This window comes from Homo sapiens, chromosome 20 (genome assembly GCF_000001405.40).
Source record: "Homo sapiens chromosome 20, GRCh38.p14 Primary Assembly".
In the NCBI taxonomy this organism is placed as follows: Eukaryota; Metazoa; Chordata; class Mammalia; order Primates; family Hominidae; genus Homo; species Homo sapiens.
This window is the reverse complement of record NC_000020.11, coordinates 31,452,345-31,475,270: the sequence shown is the minus strand read 5'-3', so window position 1 is coordinate 31,475,270 and position 22,926 is coordinate 31,452,345. Positions and strand designations below refer to the sequence as shown.

General features: G+C 47.2%; 1 protein-coding gene across 1 annotated transcript, besides 1 other annotated feature; it reads left to right on the top strand.

The window, feature by feature from the left end:
* Positions 32-91: a silencer, noted in NCBI's record as "silent region_12756". NCBI's record gives its function as "represses an Ori minimal core promoter by ATAC-STARR-seq in GM12878 lymphoblastoid cells {active_cell/tissue: GM12878}" and the evidence as "EXISTENCE:reporter gene assay evidence [ECO:0000049][PMID:35858748]".
* Positions 144-9,800, top strand: DEFB124 (defensin beta 124). Its single transcript, NM_001037500.2, has 3 exons — positions 144-644; positions 2,233-2,315; positions 9,608-9,800. Exons 2-3 carry the CDS (start codon positions 2,258-2,260, stop codon positions 9,763-9,765), a joined length of 216 nt encoding a protein of 71 aa, NP_001032589.1. The 5' UTR covers positions 144-644; positions 2,233-2,257; the 3' UTR covers positions 9,766-9,800.
* The last annotated feature ends 13,126 nt before the right edge of the window (positions 9,801-22,926 follow it).

The window sequence follows — 22,926 nt, the reverse complement described above, 5'->3', positions numbered from 1 at the left end:
CCCCTCCCCTCGCCGCCTCGGCCGGGGGAGGAGCCGCGACCCCGCCCCATCCAGCCCCGCCCCATTAGGGCAGCCCCGGGGTCCCCGCCCCAAGGCCCTGGCCGCTCAGTGACTTTTCTGAAAGTGCAGAGCTCAGCTGACCCGCTTCTGCCAGCCCTACGCACCGGGTGAGGGTGGCAGACGAGAAAGGAAGGATGGGGGCTCTGGATTCCTGGGTCTGGAGCTCCATCTGCGTCCACATCTGTCCACTCCATCAAGGGGATGCACTAACATATTAGCCCCCAGAAAAACCACTTGGGGAACTTGCTAAATTTTCAGGTCCCGCCTTCCAAGAGAGGCGGATTCCACGGTGCTGGGGGAGGGGTTCGGGAATCTGCGTTTTAAACAAGTGCCCCAAGTGATCCTGATGCAGGCGGTTCACTGACCTCACTTTAAGAAACTCTGCTCTGGATGAAGAATTAATTTTGGGAGGTGGCTTGGAGGAAGAGAGAGCTCAGGAAGTCTGCACTGAAGAATTATGAAAATCTTATTTTGGCATCATTCATTCATTCACCAACTGAGGCTTAGCTGGGCCTGGGCCTGAGGTCTCTGCCACTCTGTCTACTGTTTCTATTACTGATGGCTGAAAAAAAAAATGCTCCCAGGTATGGAGGAGGAGGAAAGAGATTGCTGGTGACGTCGGCCATCCAAGGGGCCAGGATCCAGACTCTTTGACTGGGCTGCCTCCCTTTAGGTCTTGAGAAATTGGGGTGTGTCTGTGTGTGGAGCCCATGGAGACCAGGCTGCACCTGTGGGTGGGGCTCATTGTCATGGCTGAGGGGATTCAGGTGTTCAGCTTGGAATAACTCCCACAGCAGCTGAACAGACTGGCTCAGCCCCCACAGGTCTTGGAGCTGATACAGAACCCCCTCGTGCCTGGCTTCCTTCCGTGGCTTGGCCCTCTAAGCTTACCTTTCTAACTTGCAAGATGGGCCATGAGTGGTGCAGCACCCTTCATTGTCTGGGAGTGAGGTGACTTGGCTTTTCCATCTCTGCAGCACAATTGCTGTGTGACCTTAGGCAAGTCAACTTCCCTCTTTGGGTTTCAGTTTCTTTATTTAAAACTATAATATGAACAGCTTACACTCTTGCTAAAAAACTTTTGGTTGTCTATAATACAAAAGTCTGAACTTGGCATTCAAGCCCCAACCTATTCTCTGCAGAATCATTTCAACCTCTCCTCCCAGGAAAACCCTTGCTTGGCTCATGCCCTACTCTTCTAGGCACATTCTATTCTTTCTGCCCGGGATACCTTTTCCCCTACTCATCTTTCATGATGCAACTTAGATTCCTGTGTACCAGACACTGTTCTAAGCTCTGCACGGATATTATCTCAGGGGTTCTCAAACTTTGGCGGTGTGTTAGAATCACTTGGAGGGCTTGTTAAGCCACATTTTGCCGGGACCCACCCATACTCTCATCTATGACTAGTGATCTAACAAATGACCAGAGAGCTAACTTGTGACCAGTGTTAGTGAATCTGTGGTCTAACTTGTAACCAGTGGTTTAACCTGTGACCCATGGGCTGCTCTGTGACCTGTGGCCTTCTTCTGCTTAGGAAGAGGTGAATTCAGTAGGTTTGGGGTAGGGCTAAAGAACTGGTGTTTCTAACAAGTCCCAGGTGTTGCTGCTGCTTGCTGGGGGAACCATAGTATAGGAGCCACTGTATTACTTCATTTAGTCCCCTAAATGAGATGGGTAGCTATTACTCTCTATGACATGGGTACTATTACTCTTCCCATTTTAGAGTAGGCCTGCATACATGCTGTTCACTTGGCCTTGTAAGGGATGCTTGTCATCATTTCATAGACAACAGCCTGAGGCTCAGAGAGGTTAAGTGACTTGTCTGATGTCTCACAGCAGTTAGGGGGAGATGCGGGGGATTGAACTAGGTCTCTCTTAAGCCAAGATTTTTTCCACTCTCTTAGGTGGGGAAGATGTCTAGTTTCTGACCCTAGACACTGCCTCAGAAAATTCTACCTCCCCTTCCGAGCTCAACAGGCTCCGGAGGGTGTGGCTGACCAGTTCCCACGTAGCTGGCTGAAATCCCAAGCAGCCTGGGGACCACATGGCCTCATACTCCCACTTAGGCCTGCTGCCCACAGCACTGCCTTCATCTGCAGCTCAATAAAGCCTGGGCTGGAAGCAGCGAGGCTCAGCCTGCTCGGGTCTTTCCTCTTGTGCTCTCTCCAGCAGCCTCCCCAGGAGCCCCGTGGCCATGACACAGCTGCTTCTGTTCCTTGTGGCTCTCCTGGTTCTGGGTCATGTGCCATCAGGTAACAACATCGTGTGCATGTGTGTGTGTGTGTGTGTGCACATGTGTGCTTGTAAAAATGAGGACTAGACTCTCAGGTCCTGGAGGACAGAGGGGCCTCTATCAGCATTTAAGTTCTGGCCCCACCACTGACTTGGTGGGCAACTTAGAGCAAGTTGCTAAATCAGCCTGTACCTCAGTTTCCTAATCTATAAAATGGGATTCTCTCAATAAATATTCATTTATGTTATGATGGTTGTGAAATAATAACAGTGAAAGACATGTAGCAGTGAAAGAAAAGAAGGTCCTTGCTTTCATGCAGCTGACACTTTAGTTGGTGGAGATAGAAAATAAGTGGATAAACATATGTTGGGTGGTGATAAGTGCTGAGAAGAGGAAAGGCAAGGGAAGGGGTTAGAGTGGTGTGTGCATGGAGGGGGTGGGGATGGGAAGGCTGATGAGGATGGACAGAGAAGGTCTCTGATAAGATTTGTTTCTTTTGCCTCTCCCCTCTCCCCTCTCCCCTCTCCCCTCTCCCTTCTCCCCTCTCCCCTCTCCCTCTCGGTCTCCCTCTCCCTCTCTTTCCACTGTCTCCCTCTGATGCCGAGCCGAAGCTGGACTGTACTGCTGCCATCTCGGCTCACTGCAACCTCCCCGCCTGATTCTCCTGCCTCAGCCTGCCCAGTGCCTGCGATTGCAGGCGCGCGCCACCACGCCTGACTGGTTTTCGTACTTTTTTGGTGGAGATGGGGTTTCGCTGTGTTGGCCGGGCTGGTCTCCAGCTCCTAACCGCGAGTGATCCGCCAGCCTCGGCCTCCCGAGGTGCCGGGATTGCAGACGGAGTCTGGTTCACTCAGTGCTCAATGGTGCCCAGGCTGGAGTGCAGTGGCGTGATCTCAGCTCGCTACAACCTCCATCTCCCAGCCGCCTGCCTTGGCCTCCCAAAGTGCCGAGATTGCAGCCTCTGCCCGGCCGCCACCCCGTCTGGGAAGTGAGGAGCGTCTCTGCCTGGCCGCCCATCGTCTGGGACGTGAGGAGCCCCTCTGCCTGGCTGCCCAGTCTGGAAAGTGAGGAGCGTCTCTGCCCCGCCGCCATCCCGTCTAGGAAGTGAGGAGCGCCTCTTCCCGGCAGCCATCCCATCTGGGAAGTGAGGAGCGTCTCTGCCCGGCCGCCCATCGTCTGAGATGTGGGGAGCGCCTCTGCCCCGCCGCCCCGTCTGGGATGTGAGGAGCGCCTCTGCCAGGCTGCGACCCCGTCTGGGAGGTGAGGAGCGTCTCTGCCCAGCCGCCCCGTCTGAGAAGTGAGGAGCCCCTCCGCCCGGCAGCTGCCCCGTCTGAGAAGTGAGGAGCCCCTCTGCCCGGCAGCCACCCCGTCTGGGAAGTGAGGAGCGTCTCCGCCCGGCAGCCGCCCCGTCCGGGAGGGAGGTGGGGGGATCAGCCTCCTGCCCGGCCAGCCGCCCCGTCCGGGAGGGAGGTGGGGGGGTCAGCCCCCCGTCCGGGAGGGAGGTGGGGGGGGTCAGTCCCCCGCCCGGCCAGCCGCCCCGTCCGGGAGGGAGGTGGGGGGGTCAGCCCCCCGCCCGGCCAGCCGCCCCGTCCGGGAGGGAGGTGGGGGGGTCAGCCCCCGCCCGGCCAGCCGCCCCGTCCGGGAGGGAGGTGGGGGGGGTCAGCCCCCCGCCCGGCCAGCCGCCCCGTCCGGGAGGTGAGGGGCGCCTCTGCCCAGCCGCCCCTACTGGGAAGCGAGGAGCCCCTCTGCCTGGCTAGCCACCCCGTCCGGGAGGGAGGTGGGGGAGTCAGCCCCCCGCCCAGCCAGCCGCCTCGTCCGGGAGGGAGGTGGGGGGGTCAACCCCCCGCCCGGCCAGCCGCCCTGTCCAGGAGGGAGGTGGGGGGGTCAGCCCCACGTCCGGGAGGGAGGTGGGGGGGGTCAGCCCCCCGCCCGGCCAGCCGCCCCGTCCGGGAGGGAGGTGAGGTCAGCCCCCTGCCCGGCCAGCCGCCCCGTCCGGGAAGTGAGGGGCGCTTCTGCCCAGCCGCCCCTACTGGGAAGTGAGGAGCCCCTCTGCCGGGCCAGCCACCCCGTCCGGGAGGGAGGTGGGGGGCTCAGCCCCCCGCCCGGCCAGCCGCCCCGTCCGGGAGGGAGGTGGGGGGATCAGCACCCCGCCCGGCCAGCCGCCCCGTCCGGGAGGTGAGGGGCGCCTCTGCCCAGCCGCCCCTACTGGGAAGTGAGGAGCCCCTCTGCCTGGCCAGCCACCCCGTCCGGGAGGGAGGTGGGGGAGTCAGCCCCCCGCCCAGCCAGCCGCCCTGTCCGGGAGGGAGGTGGGGGGTTCAGCCCCCCGCCCGGCCAGCCGCCCTGTCCGGGAGGGAGGTGGGGGGGGGGGTCAGCCCCCCGCCCGGCCAGCCGCCCCGTCCGGGATGGAGGTGGGGTCAGCCCCCCGCCCGGCCAGCCGCCCCGTCCGGGAAGTGAGGGGCGCCTCTGCCCAGCCGCCCCTACTGGGAAGTGAGGAGCCCCTCTGCCAGGCCAGCCACCCCGTCCGGGAGGGAGGTGGGGGGCTCAGCCCCCCGCCCGGCCAGCCGCCCCGTCCGGGAGGGAGGTGGGGGGGTCAGCCCCCCGCCCGGCCAGCCACCCCGTCCGGGGGGTGAGGGGCGCCTCTGCCCGGCCGCCCCTACTGGGAAGTGAGGAACCCCTCTGCCCGGCCAGCCGCCCCGTCCGGGAGGGAGGTGGGGGGGTCAGCCCCCCGCCCGGCCAGCCGCCTTGTCCAGGAGGGAGGTGGGGGGGTCAGCCCCCCGCCCGGCCAGCCGCCCCGTCCGGGAGGTGAGGGGCACCTCTGCCCGGCCGCCCCTACTAGGAAGTGAGGCGCCCCGCTGCCCGGCCAGCCGCTCCGTCCGGGAGGGAGGTGGGGGGGTCAGCCCCCTGCCCGTCCAGCCGCCCCGTCCGGGAGGTGAGGGGCGCCTCTGCCCGGCCGCCCCTACTGGGAAGTGAGGAGCCCCTCTGCCCGGCCACCACCCCGTCTGGGAGGTGTACCCAACAGCTCATTGAGAACGGGCCGGGATGACAATGGCGGTTTTGTGGAATAGAAAGGGAGGAAAGGTGGGGAAAAGATTGAGAAATCGGATGGTTGCCGTGTCTGTGTAGAAAGAAATAGACATGGGAGACTTTTCATTTTGTTCTGTACTAAGATAAATTCTTCTGCCTTGGGATCCTGTCGATCGGTGACCTTACCCCCAACCCTGTGCTCTCTGAAACATGTGCTGTGTCCACTCAGGGTTAAATGGATTAAGGGCGGTGCAAGATGTGCTTTGTTAAACAGATGCTTGAAGGCAGCATGCTCGTTAAGAATCATCACCACTCCCTAATCTCAAGTACCCAGGGACACAAACACTGCTGAAGGCCGCAGGGTCCTCTGCCTAGGAAAACCAGAGACCTTTGTTCACTTGTTTATCTGCCGACCTTCCCTCCACTATTGTCCTATGACCCTGCCAAATCCCCCTCTGCGAGAAACACCCAAGAATGATCAATAAAAAAAATAAAAATTAAAAAAAAAAAAGATTTGTTTCTTTTTCTACTTTTTGAGATGGAGTTTCATTCTTGTTGCTCGTGCAATGGCATGATCTCAGCTCACTGCAACCTCTGCCTCCCGGGTTCAAGCGATTCTCCTGCCTCAGCCTCCCGAGTAGCTGGGATTACAGGCATGTGCCACCATGCCTGGCTAATTTTTGTATTTTTAGTGGAGACGGGGTTTCACCATGTTGGTCAGGCTGGTCTAGATCTCCTGACCTCAGGTGATTGACCCACCCCGGCCTCCCAAATTGCTAGGATTACAGACATGAGCCACCATGCCCGGCCCAGAGTTTTTTCTTTTTAAAAACTTTTTATTTTGGAAAATTTCACATATACATGAAAGTAGAGAGAATAACATAAATAAATAAGGTGAGTTTTAAACATTTTTATTATGGGAAAATTTAAACTTATGCAGAAATACAGAATACTGTAACAGCATGAGTTTTTAAAGGATACTTCTTTGATTTTTAAATTTTTGTAGAGATGGGGCCTCCCTATGTTGCTCAGGCTAGTCTCAAACTCTTGGCCTCAAGCAATCCTCCAGCTTTGGCCTCCCAAAATGCTGGGATTACAGGCATGAGCCCAGCCAGAAACTTTGGTATTTAGGAAAATTTCAACCAGAAATAAGAAATAAATAGTATAAAGAACCCTGGCCGGGCGCGGTGGCTCACGCCTGTAATCCCAGCACTTTGGGAGGCCGAGGCGGGTGGATCATGAGGTCAAGAGATGGAGACCATCCTGGCCAACATGGTGAAACCCCATCTCTACTAAAAATACAAAAAATTAGTTGGGCGTGGTGGTGGGCGCCTGTAATCCCAGCTACTCGGGAGGCTGAGGCAGGAGAATCAGTTGAACCCGGGAGGCGGAGGTTGCAGTGAGCCGTGATTGCGCCACTGCTCTCCAGCCTGGCAACAGAGTGAGACTCTGTCTTAAAAAAAAAAAATAGAAAAAGAAAATAAAAAGAGCCCTTATTACCCATCACTCAACCTCAACAATTACCAATTTGAACCAATCCTGTTTTGTTATTCACTTCCCTCTCCATTCCCGTGAATTATTTTGAAGTAAATTCCAGCGATCTTATTTTATATAAAGTGGGTTTGAATAGAGGTCTGAATAAGGTGAAAATACGAGGAAAGATCGTTCCAGGTAGAGGGAGCATCAAGGGCCAAGGCCCTGAGGCAGGGTGATGGATGGGTTTGAACAGCAGCAAGGAGGTTGGTGTGGCTAGCGGGGGGAGCACAAAGGAAATTGGTGGGAGACAGAGTCAAAGATATGAGGAAGAGAGTGCAGATCATGCAGGAGAAAGGAACTGCTGCTGGATATTGGAGTGATTGGGAAGTTCAAATGCGGTCATGTGCTAAGAGTATTTCTTGGCTGGGTGTGGTGGTTCATACCTGTAAATCCTAGCACTTTGGGAGGCCAAGGCAAGAGGATCACTTGAGCCCAGGACTTCGAGACCAGCATGGGCAACATAGGGAGACCCCATCTCTACAAAAAACAAAAAGATTAGTTGGGTATAGTGGTGTGCACCTGTAGTCCTAGCTATTTAGGAGGCTGAGGTGGAAGGATTGCTTGAGCCTAGGAATTAGAGGCTACATTGAGCCGAGATTACACTACTGCACTCCAGCCTGGGCAACAAAGTGAGATCCTGTCTCAAAAAAAAAAAATTATTATAGAAAGTGTCCTCACCTGGGAGCTAGGGTCTCGGGTTCCGGTTCCAGACCCACCACTTAGTGGCTATGGGAGCTTGGGCAAGTTCATTCCTCTCTTTACTGGTGAGTGAGAGGATTTACCTAGAATGGGTCCTGGTTGTTCCAGCAATCTAAGCTGTCATGCTGATAATCTTGCCTCCTATTTATTGAGCATTTACTACGTGCCAGGCACTGTGCTAAAGTGATCCTTTAACTGTGCTCTGAAGGAGAGTTGTACAGATGAGGAACTGAGGCCAAGGTCACTCAATGGGAAATGACTGAGCTGGGATTTGGACCCAGGAGGTCTGAGCTGGGTTCACACCACACTGTTAACGATTATACTACACACCGTCTTCAGAGGGTGGATTCTTTGCCTCATGGAGATTTTGAGGCCAGCACTGTATCATTCTAAGATTCTCTACCTTAGTAAGAGGGAAGTGTGGACTGCTCGGCAGGGTTGAATAAAACCTGTGGATATGCCTAAGGCATCATTTGAGGATTACATGGGATGTGTTTTAATCCAGAGAGATGCAGGGAAGCCTTTCCCCTCCACCTCCCACTCAGTGCTATTTCTTCTGGCCTGCTTGTTCTCTGCTAGTCTGAGGTTGTATGTCCAGAAATGTCATTTAACAGTCAAACTTGTCTATGTGGTCCTAGTCTCCCCTCACTTCCCACATGCATTCTAACTGGCCATCACAGTACCCTCATCATTTCCAGTGTGGCAGTTACCACAGAATCTATTTCTTGTATTTATATGCTTGTTTTTTAACTGTCTTCCTTGACGCTGGAAGCTCCTTGAGGGCAGGGACCATGGCTGTATTGTTCATTGTACTACTTCTAGTGCTCCGTGTTTATTGAGTGAATAAATGAAGGACAGGCTCCATCCCATGTTGTGACCAAAGACCCTTGGAGGGAGCAAAGGACCTGTTGCCCCAAAGCCTTGCCTTTTCCATTGCCCATGTTTGGAAATTCCTTCACTAAAACCTAACATTAAACAAGTCCCTATGTGTCAGGGGCAGTTTATGTAATGGGTGTGGACTCTGAAGCCAGATTGCTTGGGTTTGAGTCCAAATTCTGCTCCTCAATGGTGGTATGACCTCGGATAAGGTTTTATATATATATATATATTCTTTTTGAGATGGAGTCTTAGTTTGTCGCCAAGGCTGCAGTGCAGTGGCACGAACTTGGCTCACTGCAGCCTCCGCCTTCCGGGTTCAAGCGATTCTTCTGTCTCAGCCCCCCGAGTGGCTGGGATTACAGGTGCCCGCCACCAGGCCCGGCTAATTTTTATATTTCTAGTAGAGATGGGGTTTTGCCATGTTGGCCAGGCTGGTCTCGAACTCCTGACCCCAGGTGATCCACCCGCCTCAGCCTCCCAAAGTGCTGAGATTACAGGCGTGAGCCACTGTGCCCAGCTGGATAAGGTTATTAACCTCACTGAGCCTCAGTTTCCTTACCTGTATAGCAGGGATTGTAATAAGACTAACTATAATCGTATAGCACTGTTATGAAAAGTGCTTATGTGTACCTGGTGTGTGGCTTTACCTGGACAAGAAATCAGTTTCTGTTTATTTATTTGAGATGGAGTCTCCCTCTGTTGCCCAGTCTGGAGTGCAGTGGCACAATCTCAGCTCACTGCAATCTCCTCCCTCTGGGTTCAAGTGATTCTCCTGCCTCAGTCTCCCGTGTAGCTGGGATTAAAGGCACCTGCCACCACACCCGGCTAATTTTTGTATTTTTGGTAGAGAAAGGGTTTTGTCATGTTGGCCAGGCTGGTCTCAAACTCCTGACCTCAGGTGATCTGCCTGCCTCAGCCTCCCAAAGTGCTGGGATTACAGGCGTGAGCCACCGCGCCTGGCCTTAGTCTCTAATTTGTAACTAATGGTCTAACCTATGACATGTGGTCTAACCTAACTTGTAATCAGTACTCTCATCTGTGACTAGTGATCTAACAGAAGACCAGAGAGCTAACTTGTGACCAGTGTTAGTGAATCTGTGGCCTAACTTGTGACCAGTGGTCTAACGTGTGACCCATGGGCTGCTCTGTGACCTGTGGTTTTCCTCTGTTTAGGGAGAAGTGAATTCAAACGGTGCTGGAAGGGTCAAGGGGCCTGCCAAACTTACTGCACAAGGCAAGAAACTTACATGCACCTGTGCCCGGATGCGTCCCTGTGCTGTCTCTCCTATGCATTGAAACCTCCACCGGTCCCCAAGCATGAATATGAGTAGCTGGTTCCTGCTGTCCAATAAAACACAGGTTGCCAGTTGTCTCTTCTTTCTGCCTGCTCGCCTGTGCTCCTCTCCCCACCACGGGTGGGGGATAGGTCTAGGATGTGGGAGAAATGGTCTGTGGAGGGAGGTGAGGGACCTGAGGAGAGTGGGCGCTAATGACCATTGTAAATGGTTCCAGTCCTGGCCATGTCACTTTCTCTGTCCAACTCCGGAAAAATTACTGAACCTCTGAAAGTCTCCTCAACCATAAAATGGGAATAATTATAATATCAGGAGATTAGCACTTTATAGAAGAAATGCAAGAAGAAAGGTAGAGTTAATAATAACAAGAGTTAATCATATAGTTGATAATAACAGTGAATAATTATAGTAGAGTCAATAATAAGCTTCTGGAATTCAGAATGAGACGGCACATTTGGCTTGAGAGGCAGGCCCCACTGAGCGTGAAAGGGTTTTCCTATGTTCCTTTATAGGGTATCCTAATGACTTAGGGCTGAAGCCAAGACCAACAGACTAGATACTTTTCTGAAAATTAAACCGCCATTTTCACACATGAACTGCCATTTTCCTCCCAGTGTTCAAACAGACCCTCATCTAAGCATACATCCAACTTCCTAAGTCATTAGGATACACCCAACAAGCCGAAGAGACCAGCCGATTCTAGGGTGGAAGAGTCCCCAAAATACCTCACAGATGAGGCCCGCAAGCCCAGAGAGGGAAAGTGACTTGTTGAAGGCCATACAGTTCCCGAGTGACATGTCAAGGAATGGAGCCACACGCTGGTAGGACAGGACAGTGTGATGGGGAAATTTTGGGAGGAAGGGAGTCCCCTGACACTGGAGATGTGCAAGGTGAGCCTGGTGGCTCTGGGATGCTAGAGAAGGAAGTTACCTGGATAGGTGCTCAGAAGTGCTTTTTCGGAGGACAGGTTCTACTCAAGCCAAACCAATCATTGAATGGTTGAGATGATGATATATAAGTATCCTTTAGAAAGTACCAATTGCTTTATTCATACCACCTCATTGAATTCCCACAGTTACATATTATTATCTCCTTCCTTCTTTCCTTCCTTCCTTCCTTCCTTCCTTCATTCCTTCCTTCCTCCCTCCCTCCCTCCCTCCCTCCCTCTCTCTCTCCTCATTTCTTTTTTAACACAGGTCCTCACTCTGTTGCCCAGGCTGGAACACAGTGGAGATCGTATAGCTCACTGCAGCCTCACACTACTGGGCTCAAGCAATCTGCCTCAGCCTCCGAGGAACTAGGACTATAAGTGTATGCTGCCATACCTGGCTAATATGTTTTTGATTTGTTTGTTTGTTTTGTAGAGATGGGGTCTTGCTAAAAACAAAAACAAAAAACAAAAAACAAACAAACAAAAAACACGGGGTCTTGCTATGTTTCCCAGGCTGAACTTCTGGGCTCAAGTGATCCTCCTGCCTTGGCCTCCCAAGTTGCTGGGATCACAGGTGTGAGCTGCCACAGCTGGCCTATCTTTGCCTTTTCTATAAGGTAACTAAGACTCTATAAGGCAACTAAGAAAGTTGCCCAGGTCATAAACCTAGGAAGTGGTGGAGCTGGAACTCTATCCTGATCCTCTGCCACCTGATTTTGTCTCCCAGAGTCAGTCTTTTTTTGGAGACAGTCTTGCTCTGTTGCCCAGGCTGGAATGCAGTGGTGCAATCATGGCTCACTGCAGCTCTGAACTCCCGGGCTCAAGCAGTCCTCCCACCTCAGCCTTCCCAGTAGCTGGGACTGTAGGCGTGCACCACCATGCCTGGCTAATTTTTATATTTTTTGTAGACACAAAGTCTTGCTATGTTGCCCAGGCTGGTCTTGAACTCCTGGCCTCAAGCAATCCTCCTGCCTCGGCCTCCCAAAATGTTGGGATTACAGGCATGAGCCACTGTGCCAGACTCCAGAGTCATTCTTATTTGTACTTTAAAAATAACATTTTTTTTCTAATTGTAAAAGTAATACATGTTCATTGGAAAACATGTAAGCAGAGAAGCACAAATAAGAAAACTAAAATCATTAGTATTTTCACTGTACAGAAATACCCAGAAATAGGCCGGCTGTGGTGGCTCACTTCTATAATCCCCGCACTTTGGGAGGCCGAGGCAAGAGGCTCACTTGAGGTCAGGAGTTCAAGACCAGCCTGGCCAACATGGCGAAACCCCACCTCTACTAAAAATACAAAAATTAGCCAGCATGGTGGCGCACGCCTGTAATCCCAGCTACTCGGGAGGCTGAGGCAGGAGAATCACTTGAACCCGGGAGGTGGAGGTTGCAGTGAGCCGAGATCACACCACTGCACTCCAGCCTGGGCAACAGAGCAAGACTCTGTCTCAAAAAAAAAAAAAAAAAAAAAAAAAAAAAAGAAATACCCAGAAATAAAGAAAAATGTAAAATGTGACAAAAATAAAATGGAATCAAGCTGTAGATATTTTGTGTCCTGGTTTTTTAACTGATCAATATATCATAAAAATTTATGTATGTGCTTAGCCTTCCAAAACAATATTTTTAGCACTAAAATTCCTCCTGAAAAATTTTAAGTCACTTCTAGTTTTTATAACTTGAGTAGTATGTTTAAAATACGTATGGAGGCCAGGCGCGGTGGCTCATGTCTGTAATCCCAGCACTTTAGGAGGCTGAGGTGGGTGGATCGCCTGAGGTCAGGAGTTCAAGACCAGCCTGGCCAACATGGTGAAACCATGTCTCTACTGAAAATACGAAAATAGCCGGTCATGGTGGTGCACGCTTGTAATCCCAGCTACTTAGGAGGCTGAGGCAGGAGAATCGCTTGAACCTGGGAGGTGGAGGTTGCAGTGAGCCAAGATTGTGCCACTGCACTCCAGCCTGGGTGACAGAGTGAGACTCCATCTCAAAAAAAAAAAAAAAAAAAAAAAAAAAATAAATAAATAAATAAATAAAATACAGTGTCAAAAACTAAGAAAGTATAGTATAGATAAGCCTCAAAATATTCACCTGTCTTTCATAATTCCTGTTGGTATTTTGGTATATATATATTCTTATATATATATATATATTTAAGGCATTTTCACACGCATCAGAGACTCTTCTATGAGAAGGGCTTCTCCTGCTGATCAGGTGGACACCTTTGGGGTCACAGGGAAGGAGAAGAACAAGGAAGTTACAACAATGGATGGATACTGTAGGTAGTTCAGGGTAGAACTGGGTGTCTGACTTCTATCCCCACTCCCTTCTTTCAATGGCAGAGTGTTCAGTGGAATTGCTTATTATTATGCTAGGGCTAGGTTTAAATCTGAGAGCCAGGTGACAATTGCACATGACTTAAATTATCCTTGAAAACTGCTCAGGAAGGCACCTTTTTGGAGACTGACATACACAGCAAGTTTTCCTCCACTGATGGAACATATCACATTTCTCTGGCCGTGCATTAAAGGAAGTGGTTGGTTATGTTTAGGCACCATTTTTTTTGGTGAAAAATAAGTATCTTTCCACAGTGGAATCACACAATGCAATGTGATGTCTTCACTGCCAGAAGCTTTCCCTGCCCAGGAAATAATCCAATTCCCATCTCCCACTCATTCAGGCACTGGCTCAAGGAGGGATTTTTCTGGCTTATTCGGATTCTTATTGCACATATTTGCAAAACATATATCTGACAAAAGACTCATATCCACAATATACAAATAACTGTTACAAATTAATAAGAAAAGAGAAAACTCAATAACAGAATGGGCAAATATTTAAATGACATTTTACAAATGAAAATACATAAGTGGCCAATAAGTTCGTGAAAAGATGTTCAATATCATTAGTAATCAGGAGAATTCAAATTAAGATCACAATGAGATACCATACATACTCACCAGAATAATTAAAGTAAAAAGACTGACTATAGCAAGGCTGGTGAGGATATGGAGCACTGGAATGCTGATACATTGCTGGTGGGACTGTAACATGGACAACTACTCTGCAACTGGAAAAACAGGTGCAGAGTTACTTACAAAATTAAATAGACATGTTGGCTGGGCACTGTGGCTCATGCCTGTAATCCCAGCACTCTGGGGGCAGACACGGGCAGATCACTTGAGGTCAGGTGTTTGAGACCAGTCTGGCCAACATGGCGAAACCCCGTCTCTACTAAAACAATACAAAAATTAGCTGGGTGTGGTGGTGTGTGCCTCTAATTCCAGCTACTTGGGAGGCCGAGGCTGGAGAATTTGCTTGAACCCAGGAGGTGGAGGTTGCAGTGAGTCAAGATGGCACCACTGCACTCCAGCCTGGGTGACAGAGTGAGACTCCGTCTCAAACAAACAAACAAACAAACAAACAAACGAACAAAATTAAATAGACATATGTCTATACAAAGATTTCTCTATCCATGTTTGTAGCAACTTTATTTGTAGTAACCCATAAATGAAAACAGCCCAAATGTTCAGCAGGCAAATGGACAAGTTGAGTTATATCCATGCAATATGCTACTCAATAAATAGCAATAATTTACCAATACACACAACCATAAATTAATTTCAAAAACACTATGTTAAGTGAAAGAAGCCAGACACAAAGAAATACATGCTGAGTAATTTCATTTATATGATTTTTCAGAAAGGCAAAACAAAGTTGATTTAAAAAGTAAGAAAAAAAGAAAAAAACCCATCCCAAGTCTTATTTCCTTTAAATTCCTTTTTTTCTGAGCACATGTAGTTGAGTCTGGGTAAACTATCTGTGCTTATGATGTAGCTCCATTTGTGTCATAAAGAGCTGGGTGATCCAGGAGACAAGCATGATGTTTTCATGACTCTCTTAATGGCTAGATCAATGACTCACAAGAGGAGATACTCCCCTCTAGCGGTTATTTTTGGAATTTGCTGGTTTTTTTTTTTTTTTTTTTGAGACGGAGTCTCGCTCTGCCGCCCGGGCTGGAGTGCAGTGGCACAATCTCGGCTGAGTGCAAGCTCCGCCTCCCGGGTTCAAGGCATTCTCCTGCCTCAGCCTCCCGAGTAGCTGGGATTAAAGGCGTGAGCCACCACGCCTGGGTTTTTTTTTTTTTTTAGTAGAGACGGGGTTTCACCGTGTTGGTCATGCTGGTCTCAAACTCCTGGGGTCAAGTGATCCGCCCCCCTCGGCCTCCCAAAGTGCTGGGATTACAGGCCTGAGCCACCGCGCCCGGCCAAGACACAATTTTTAATGATATATCTCCAACATTTTGTACGTGTTCGTTAATTTTGCTCCTTTCCTCCTAATTTGAACCCAGTAGACTGGCTTAAGTCCAGTGAGCCCTTGGCTGAAACTAAGATCTCCCTGATTTGGGCATGCCTAATGATTTCCATCGTTGTCTCAACTGAAAATCAACTTGATGATTTTCACCTACGCGCCACTAGCATCAGCATTCTATTTTTCTGTTTTTCATTAATTCAATTTATATTTATTGAATACCTTTTATGTGCCGGGCATTATTCTAAGTATGGAGGACTCAGCAGTGGGCAAAGCAGACAAATCCCTACCTGTATGGAGCTTACATTCTAGGAATAAACCCAATTTTGACTTTGTTCTCAGTATCCAGCCTTAGCTTCACCCTTTGGAAGGATGAATTGCCAGATACCTACTTCAGAGTCACTTGTGGCACCGTGAACTTGTGTGTGTTCAATGATTTCATAATTGCACGGTAAACCAGCATGTCCAATAAGCATAATACCTTTGGAACATAGCATTTGGATTTATTGTTTACATATGAATATTCATTTTCACATAGTAAACACTTTAGATGTAACTTGGAATGAAATCTCATGCACTTTACATGTTTAAATTCATTAGTCATTTGAGATAGAAGTATATATTTATTACTGTAGGAATAAAATGTTGCAACAGTTAAAGATGATTGTGAAAGCTATCAATGTTAGAAAAATAATTAAGAACTTTCGACAATTCAACTTAGGAGAAAATATGAGTTAATTTAAATATTGAGAGCTAAAATTTGTTAGCTTGATAACCTTCAGAATGTTATATCCAATCAATATTTTTAATATTTTGAATATTAGCACTAGGCAAAATAATGGAGATTATATTATAGTTCAATCTTTGTTAAAATACCATTCATCACATTAAAAAAAAACTATTAGAGGCCAGATGTGGTGGCTCACACCTGTAATCCCAGCACTTTGGGAGGCCAAGGTGGGTGGATTGCCCAGCCTAGGCAACATGGTGAAACCCTGTCTCTACAAAAAATACGAAACTTAGTCAGGCGAGGTGGTGTGCACCTGTAGTGCCAGCTACTTGGGAGGCTGAGGTGGGAAGATCGTTTGAGCTTGGGAGGTTGACACTGCTGTGAACTGAGATGGTGCCACTGCACTCCAGCCTGTGTGAAAAAGTGAGACCCTGTCTCAAAAAAAAAAAAAGTACTTGCCTTTAGTTGTTCTTTAGTTATTTAATTCCATTTAGGACATAAGCCTTTTAGGAAAAAATTGTGGTTGAGAATTTCTCACACCTTGTAAGGATGAATAAAAAGCTAAATGCGATTTTGTCACCTCAAAATTTCACAGGTAGGAAAGACTCCAAAATCATGTACCATGACATCGATGATAAGTCACCTTCAATTTATACATACTGTTGGGTATAAAGACAATGAAGAACAGAGGAAAGCGTTAGGGAAAAGTGAGGTACCTTAGGCATATTTTATTCTCACTGATTTTCAAAATCACAAATTTTATGAAGGCTAAAAAATTAAACAATAAAGTTTGCCAAATTTTTTGCTATAAACTACCACCCGGTTTCAGTAGTTGAAGGTAGAATATTTTTGACATTTTTTCAAGCTGCAAATTCTGAATTTCTTTCTAAATTCAAAAGTTCTTTTTAGGAAGTATGTTTCTGAAATTAATTTTCTTTTAAATTATTTTTATTTTTAAATTTTTCGTTATTTATTTTTGTCTTTTAATTTTGAATTTAATTAATTTATTCATTTTTAGAGATGGGATCTTGAGATGTTGCCCAGGCTGGACTTGAACTCCTGAGCTCAAGTGGTCTTCTTGCCTCAGTCTCCCAAGTAGCTTGAATTATAGGTGCACACTACCATGCCTGGCAATTTTAAAATTTTTATTAAAAATGAAAAAAATATAATATTTATACATATTTATGGGGTACATATGATATCTTGATACATACATACAATGTGTAATGGTCAAATAAGGGTATTTAGCATATTCATCACCTTTATTATTTCTTTGTATTGGGAATATGAAATTCGTTTTTTGTTTCCTTTTTTTTTCTTTTTCTGAGACAGGGCCTCATTCTGTTGTCCAGGCAGCTGGAGTGCAGTGATGTGATCTCTGTTCACTGCAGCCTCAACCTCCTGGGCTCAAGCAGTCCTCCTACTTCAGCCTCCCAAGTAGCTGGGACCACAGGCACGTGCCACCATGCCCGGGTAATTTTTTAATTATTATTATTTTTTTGGTAGAGATGAGGTCTGCCTATGTTGCCCAGGCTGGTCTTGAACTCCTGGGCTCAGGAGACTCTCCTGCCTCAGCCTCCCAAAGTGCTGCAGTTATAGGCATGAGCCACCACATGTGGCCAAATTCATTTTCTTGAGTTACTTTATTCCATGACTGAAAAAGTTAGTGGATGTTGAAACTGAGCATCTATTTAGTACAGCAAATAGCATCTATTTAGTACAGCATCTATTTAGCATAGCAACTCCTTCGCTTCAAGACCAGCCTGGGCAACATAAAGAGATCTCATCTCTACTAAAAAAAAAAAAAATTAGCCAGGCATGGTGGCACATGCCTGTGGTCCCAGCTACTTTGGAGGCTGAAGTAGGAGGATTGCTTGAGCCCAGGAGGTTGAGGCCACAGTGAACTGAGATGAGCAGGACAGTGACTGCAGGGGTAATTGTTCCTGCATTCTAATATTAAACCTTTAAAATGTGACTCCTAGAATTTGTAATAATTAATACCGATGATTACTTTTTTGGGATGTTACTTCAGATTTATACTTACATCTCAGAAGTTAAATGGTGTGCCAGTGCGGCCTCAAGCCCAGCCTTCTATATTCTGCTCTGTGCTGCTGGGGCTGGGAGTCCGATATTACCATTTCCCAGACTCCTTCACCAGGTGGCTTCCTACTAAGAGTTTGCTAATTGCAGACAATGGTGGGAGGCTAGAAAGTGGGAGGGGAGGGGAGGGGAGGGGAGGGAGAAGGCATTCACTCTCTGCTTTGGATTCCATCTGTATCCTCCCAGCAGCTTAGGTGGCTATGGGTTCATTGCCAGAACTGCGATGTCCTTCAGAGGCACCAGCTCCAATCATAAGGTACCCCCCTCTCCAAGCACTAAACTGGTACATAGGTGCTCAGTAAATTTGTAGTTGAATAAATGAATACATACATATTCATATATATACATTCATCTGGGAAGGCAATATATATTTACTCAATATATATGAATAAATCATGTTCCATGTACTGTATCAGTCATGATCTAGCTAGAAAACAAAAGCCATACTAGGTATTTCAATGGAGGGAATTTTACATGAGGAACCCCAAATTTATTTGGGAAACTGGATCCCAAATTCATTTATGTATATTGGATAAATATACGTTGAAATATATATTGCCTCCTCAGATATATATAAAAATATATATTCACACATATACATATATATTTATCTGGGGAGGCAATATAATATATACTTATTCATATACATTGAATAATGTTTATTCATATATATATCAATACATCCAACATTAAATAAATCCACAGCGGACAGGGAGACAAGAAATACAATCAAGAAAAAAATATTATATTAGATGCTGATAAATACTATGGAGAAATGCAAGCAAAAAAGGAAGTAAGGGAGAGTAGCTTTTTTTTTTTTTTTTTTTTTTTGAGATGGAGTGTAGCTCTGTCGCCCAGGCTGGACTGCAGTGGCGCGATCTCGGCTCACTGCAAGCTCCGCCTCCCGGGTTCATGCCATTCTCCTGCCTCAGCCTCCCGAGTAGCTGGGACCACAGGCACCCGCCACCATGCCCGGCTAATTTTTTGTATTTTTAGTAGAGACGGGGTTTCACCATGTTCGCCAGGATGGTCTCGAGCTCCTGACCTTGTGATCCGCCCGCTTTCGGCCTCCCAAAGTGCTGGGATTACAGGCGTAAGCCACCGTGCCTGGCCAAGAGTAGCTTTTTTTTTTTTTTTTAAAGATTAAAAATAGCATATTCAGAGAAGTTTTCAGTGACATGGAGATATTTGAACAAACCCAAAGAATGTTAGAGAGTGAGTCTTGCATATTGGAGGATGAGAGTTCCAGGCAGAATGAATAGCAAGTGCAAACGCCCTGAGGTGGAACCATGCTTGGTGTGTTTGAGAAATGGCTAGGAGGCCAGCATAGTTTAAGTGGAGTGAGCCAGGGCAAGAATAGTTGGAGATGAGGTTCAAGAATTAATGGGATCCAGGCCAGGCAGGTTGCTCATGTCTGTAATCCCAGCAATTTGGGAGGCTGAGACGGGTGGATCACCTGAGGTCAGGAGTTAAAGACCAGCCTGGCCAACATGGTGAAACCCCATCTCCACTAACAATACAAAAAAAATTAGCCAGGCATGATGGCGCATGCCTGTAATCCCACCTATTCGGAGGCTGAGGCAGGAGAGTCGCTTGAACCCGGAAGGTGGAGGTTGCGGTGAGCTGAGATCGTGCCATTGCACTCCAGCCTGGGCAACAAGATCTCAAAAAAAAAAAAAAAAAAAAAAAAAAAAAAAAAAAGAAAGGATTACGAAGAAGCAGAAGAAAACTTTTGAGGGGGACAGATATGTTTATTATCTTGATTTTGGTGATAATTTCATGGGTGCACACATGACAAAACTTAGAAACTTTTACACTTTAAATATGTGCAGTTTACTGAATGTTAATTATACCTTGAAAGACTGCATGGGGTGGCTCATGCCTGTGATCCCAACACTTTGGGAGATTGAGGCAGGAGGATCATTTGAAGCCAGGAATTCAAGATTAGCCTATGCAAACATGGAGGAACCTTGTCTCGACGAAAAATACAAAAAAGTTAGCTGGGTGTGGTGGTGCACGCCTGTAGTCCCAGGTACTTGGGAAGCTGAGGTGGGAGGATCGCTCGAGCCCAGGAGGCTGAGGCTGCAGTGAGTTATGATTGCAACACTGCACCCTAGTCTGGGCAACAGAGCAAATCCCATCTCAAAAAAAATTATACCTCAATAAAGCTATTAAATAAATAAAAAACCCAGGATGTGAAAAATAAACTATGATTTTTTTTTAGGGGGAAAAAAGCTAAAGGAAAACAGAAATTAAAGGAAAGAGATGGAGTAACTGAGTGGTATGTGATGAAACCAAAGAGGCCGGGTGTGGTGACTCATGCCTGTAATCCCAGCACTTTGGGAGGCTGAGGCGGGTGGATCACAAGGTCAGGAGATCGAGACCATCCTGGCTAACACAGTGAAACCCAGTCTGCACTAAATATACCAAAAAAAAAAAAAAAAAAAAAAAAAAAAAAATTAGCCGGGCATGGTGGCGGTGGGCGCCTGTAGTCCCAGCTACTCAAGAGGCTGAGGCAGGAGAATGACATGAACCCGGGAGGCAGAGCTTGCAGTCAGCCGAGATCGCGCCACTGCACTCCAGCGTGGGCGACAGAGTGAGACTCTGTCTCAAAAAAAAAAAAAAAAAAAAAAGGCAACCAAAGAGATGGACAAGGGCTAGATCTCAGAGGAACTCCCAGATTAACAAATCCTTTTGCACGTGGAGATAGCAGATCCATCCCCAAGTCCTCAGTGTTCTCACAGGCCAATCTCCCATGCATCTTTTGCCCATTTAGTTATTGGGTGCCATTAACTGGAAGACTCCAGGAATCACTGCTGACATTCTGGAAGGTTCATCCAGCCCTTCCCTCCCACATCCCCATCCAGGATCCTAAATATTTAAACTGCAGCAATATTGCCTCCAGGTGGCTCAATAACACCAGCTATCACAAAGACAAATTTGGACCTCACATCCAGAACACCTCACTGTCTACTGTGCGATAAAAAAATCACCATTACCCCTTCCTATTGCTATATTCTTAGAGGTAACTGTTATCCTAAATTTGTATTTATTATCTCCTTAGCTTTTATTGAAAGTTTTATTATACATGTTTATGTCCCTAACAAAATATTTGTTTACATATACACAATTTTGAACAAGTTATGAACAAATCTTACTGGAATTTTATAGAATCTAGGAAATAATTAGTATAGAATTGACGTCTTTAAGATATTGAGACTTCTAATTCATAAGCATAATATGTTTCTCTATTAATTTAGGCTTTTTATATTGTATTTCAATAAGGTTTTCTAACTTTTTCCATAAATTCTTGAACATGTTTTGTATGAAATATTCATAGGTACTGAGAAGCACTTTTTCTTTTTTTTTTTGAGACGGAGTCTCGCTCTGTCGCCCAGGCTGGAGTGCAGCGGAGCGATCTCTGCTCACTGCAAGCTCCGCCTCTCGGGTTCACGCCTTTTTCCTGCCTCAGCCTCCAGAGGCACTTTTTCTTTTAATTGTTAGCAGTTTGACTGTGATATGTTTAGGGTTTGATTTCTTTCCTTTCCTTCTTTTTTTTTTTTTTTTTTGAGACAGAGTTTCATTCGCTGCCCAGGCTGGAGTGCAGTGGCAGGATCTCACCTCAGCAACCTCCAGCCTCCCAGGTTCAAGCGATTCTCCTGCCGCAGCCTCCTTAGTAGCTGGGCTTACAGGCGCGTGCCACCATGCCCAGCTAATTGTTGTATTATTAGTAGAGATGAGGTTTCACCATGTTGGCCAGGCTGGTGTCGAACTCCTAACCTCAGGTGATCTGCCCGCCTCGGCCTCCCATAGTGCTGGAATTACAGGCTTGAGCCACCATGCCTGGCAGGTTTGATTTTCTTTGTGTCTATGCTGCTTTGGAGTTCACTGAATTTCTTGTGGATTGATGTCTTTCAACAATTTTGGAAATTTTTCAACTATTATCTTTTAAAAATATTTCTTCTTCCTCATTGCCCTCTTTAATTTCTTTTTTTAATAGAGATAGGTGGGGTTTGGGCATGGTGGCTCATTCCTGTAATCCCAGCATTTTAGGAGGCTGAGGCAGGCCAAATTGCTTGAGCCCAGGAGCTCACAACCAACATGGTGAGACCCCATCTCGAAAAGAAAAAAAAAATAGGGAGGGGGTCTCATTATAATGTCCAGGCTGGTCTTGAACTCTTGGATTCATGTGATCCTCCTGCCTCAGCCTCCCAAAGTGCTGAGATTACATGTGTGAGCCACTGTGCCTGGTCTCCCATCTCTTCTTCTGGGACTTAATTATATATATGTTAGATTATTTGATATTGTCCCATAAGTCTCTCATACTCTGTTATGCTCGTTTTGCATTTTTTCTCTCTGTGCTTTGGTTTGTATATCTTCTAATCTGTCTCTGAGTTGACTGATTCATTCTTCCACAATGCCCTATCTTCTGCTGTTAAACCCATCCAATAGATTCCTTTTTTTAAGAGGTGGGGTCTCGCTATTTTGCTCAGGCTGGAGTGCACATGTGGCTATTCACAGGCATGATCATAGCATACTACAGACTTAAACTCCTGGGTGTAAGTGATCCTCCTGCCTCAGCCTACCAAGTAGTTGCGACTACAGGCATGTGCCACCACGCCTGGCTTACCATCCAATAAATTCTTAATTTTAGCATGTCTCAGTTTAGAAGGCCCAATTTATTCTTAGAGTTTCCATCATGCAATGAATCATCCTCTTAGTATTCATGCCCTTATGTAGTCCTCTTTCACAGTGACTGGCATATGATTTACCAGTGGGACTTCAGCAAATGTAATACAAACAGAAATTTGAGAAATGCTGGATGTTGAGGTTTACCCATATATGTCAGAAATTGTATTTAAGAGAACTATAAGACTAAAATAAGTGTTATTTTTTCCCTAAGGGAGAGCATGTCCTTTCTTCTGTTAGGCAGTTAGGACTGTTGTTAATATACCTCTGCAAGACCAGGAATGGCGGCTCATTCCTGTATTCCTAGCACTTTGGGAGGCTCTTGGCCCCAGCCATCATAGAGGAAGCCAAGGTTAACTTCTTTGCGGTGGAGAGGCTACGTGAAGAGAGATGTAGTAACATGAATGACCTCGTGAGAATATCAGAAGAACCAC

Bases quoted from the DNA above. Each gene is read 5' to 3' on its own strand.
- DEFB124 (NM_001037500.2), top strand. From the start codon at position 2,258: ATGACACAGCTGCTTCTGTTCCTTGTGGCTCTCCTGGTTCTGGGTCAT. The intron at 2,316-9,607 runs GTAACAACATCG...TCCTCTGTTTAG, and splicing joins TCTGGGTCATGTGCCATCAG to GGAGAAGTGAATTCAAACGG.